Source organism: Homo sapiens, chromosome 8 (assembly GCF_000001405.40).
Source record: "Homo sapiens chromosome 8, GRCh38.p14 Primary Assembly".
Lineage (NCBI taxonomy): Eukaryota > Metazoa > Chordata > Mammalia > Primates > Hominidae > Homo > Homo sapiens.
The window spans coordinates 38,090,227-38,091,034 of record NC_000008.11 but is presented as its reverse complement, the minus strand read 5'-3'; the positions used below and the strand labels follow the sequence as shown (position 1 = coordinate 38,091,034).

Below are 808 nucleotides of genomic sequence, written 5' to 3'. Positions count from 1 at the left end.
GAGTGACATGGGGAGGTGCAGATCTCTTTTTTTTTTTTTTTTTTGAGATGGAGTCTCACTGTGTTGCCCAGGCTGCAGTGCAGTGGTGCGATCTTGGCTCACTGCAAGCTCCACCTCCTGGGTTCATGCCATTCTTCCACCTCAGCCTCCCAAGTAGCTGGGACTACAGGCGCCCGCCACCACGCCCAGCTAATTTTGTTTTTGTATTTTTAGTAGAGACGGGGTTTCACCATGTTAGCCAGGATGATCTCAATCTCCTGACCTCGTGACCCGCCTGCCTCGGCCTCCCAAAGTGCTGGTATTACAGGCATGAACCACCATGCCCAGCTGGGAGGTGCAGATCTCTTAGCGCAGACTGTGTGCTCCGAGGCAAGCGTGGGATGAGCCAGACCTAGGTTACTGTGTCAGGCTGACAGGATTAGCTTCATAGCTTCACAGCAGTAGTTGGCTGTGACCTGGCCAAGCAGTGTCCGAACCTCCCGTAATAGGACCCAGTCTGGTGAATCCGAGAGTGAAAGTGAGAGTGAAAGTGCACCGTGAGGGAGGAAATGGGAGGAAAAGCATCGAAGCCAACTCAATTAGAATGTATATTGAAGAACTTCAAGAAAGACTTTTATGGTGATTATGGAATGAAGTTAACAACGTAGTGGCTAAGAACCCTTTGTGAAATTGACTGGCTCTCCTTTAATGTAGGGTGGCTGGCCAAGGGAACCTTAGATTGGGAAATAATTGGCTGAGTGTTTCAGGTGGTCACTGGGATCGGAGAACAGCCGGGGCACCCTGATCAGTTTCCATACACAGACTCCTG

At 50.5% G+C, this 808-nt stretch overlaps 1 annotated feature.

Annotated features, from left to right (window-relative positions):
- Positions 369–484: a transcriptional cis regulatory region, noted in NCBI's record as "candidate enhancer chr8.1253 targeted for multiplex CRISPR interference". NCBI's record gives its function as "positively regulates ASH2L and STAR gene expression with high confidence in K562 cells {active_cell/tissue: K562}" and the evidence as "EXISTENCE:mutant phenotype evidence [ECO:0000015][PMID:30612741]".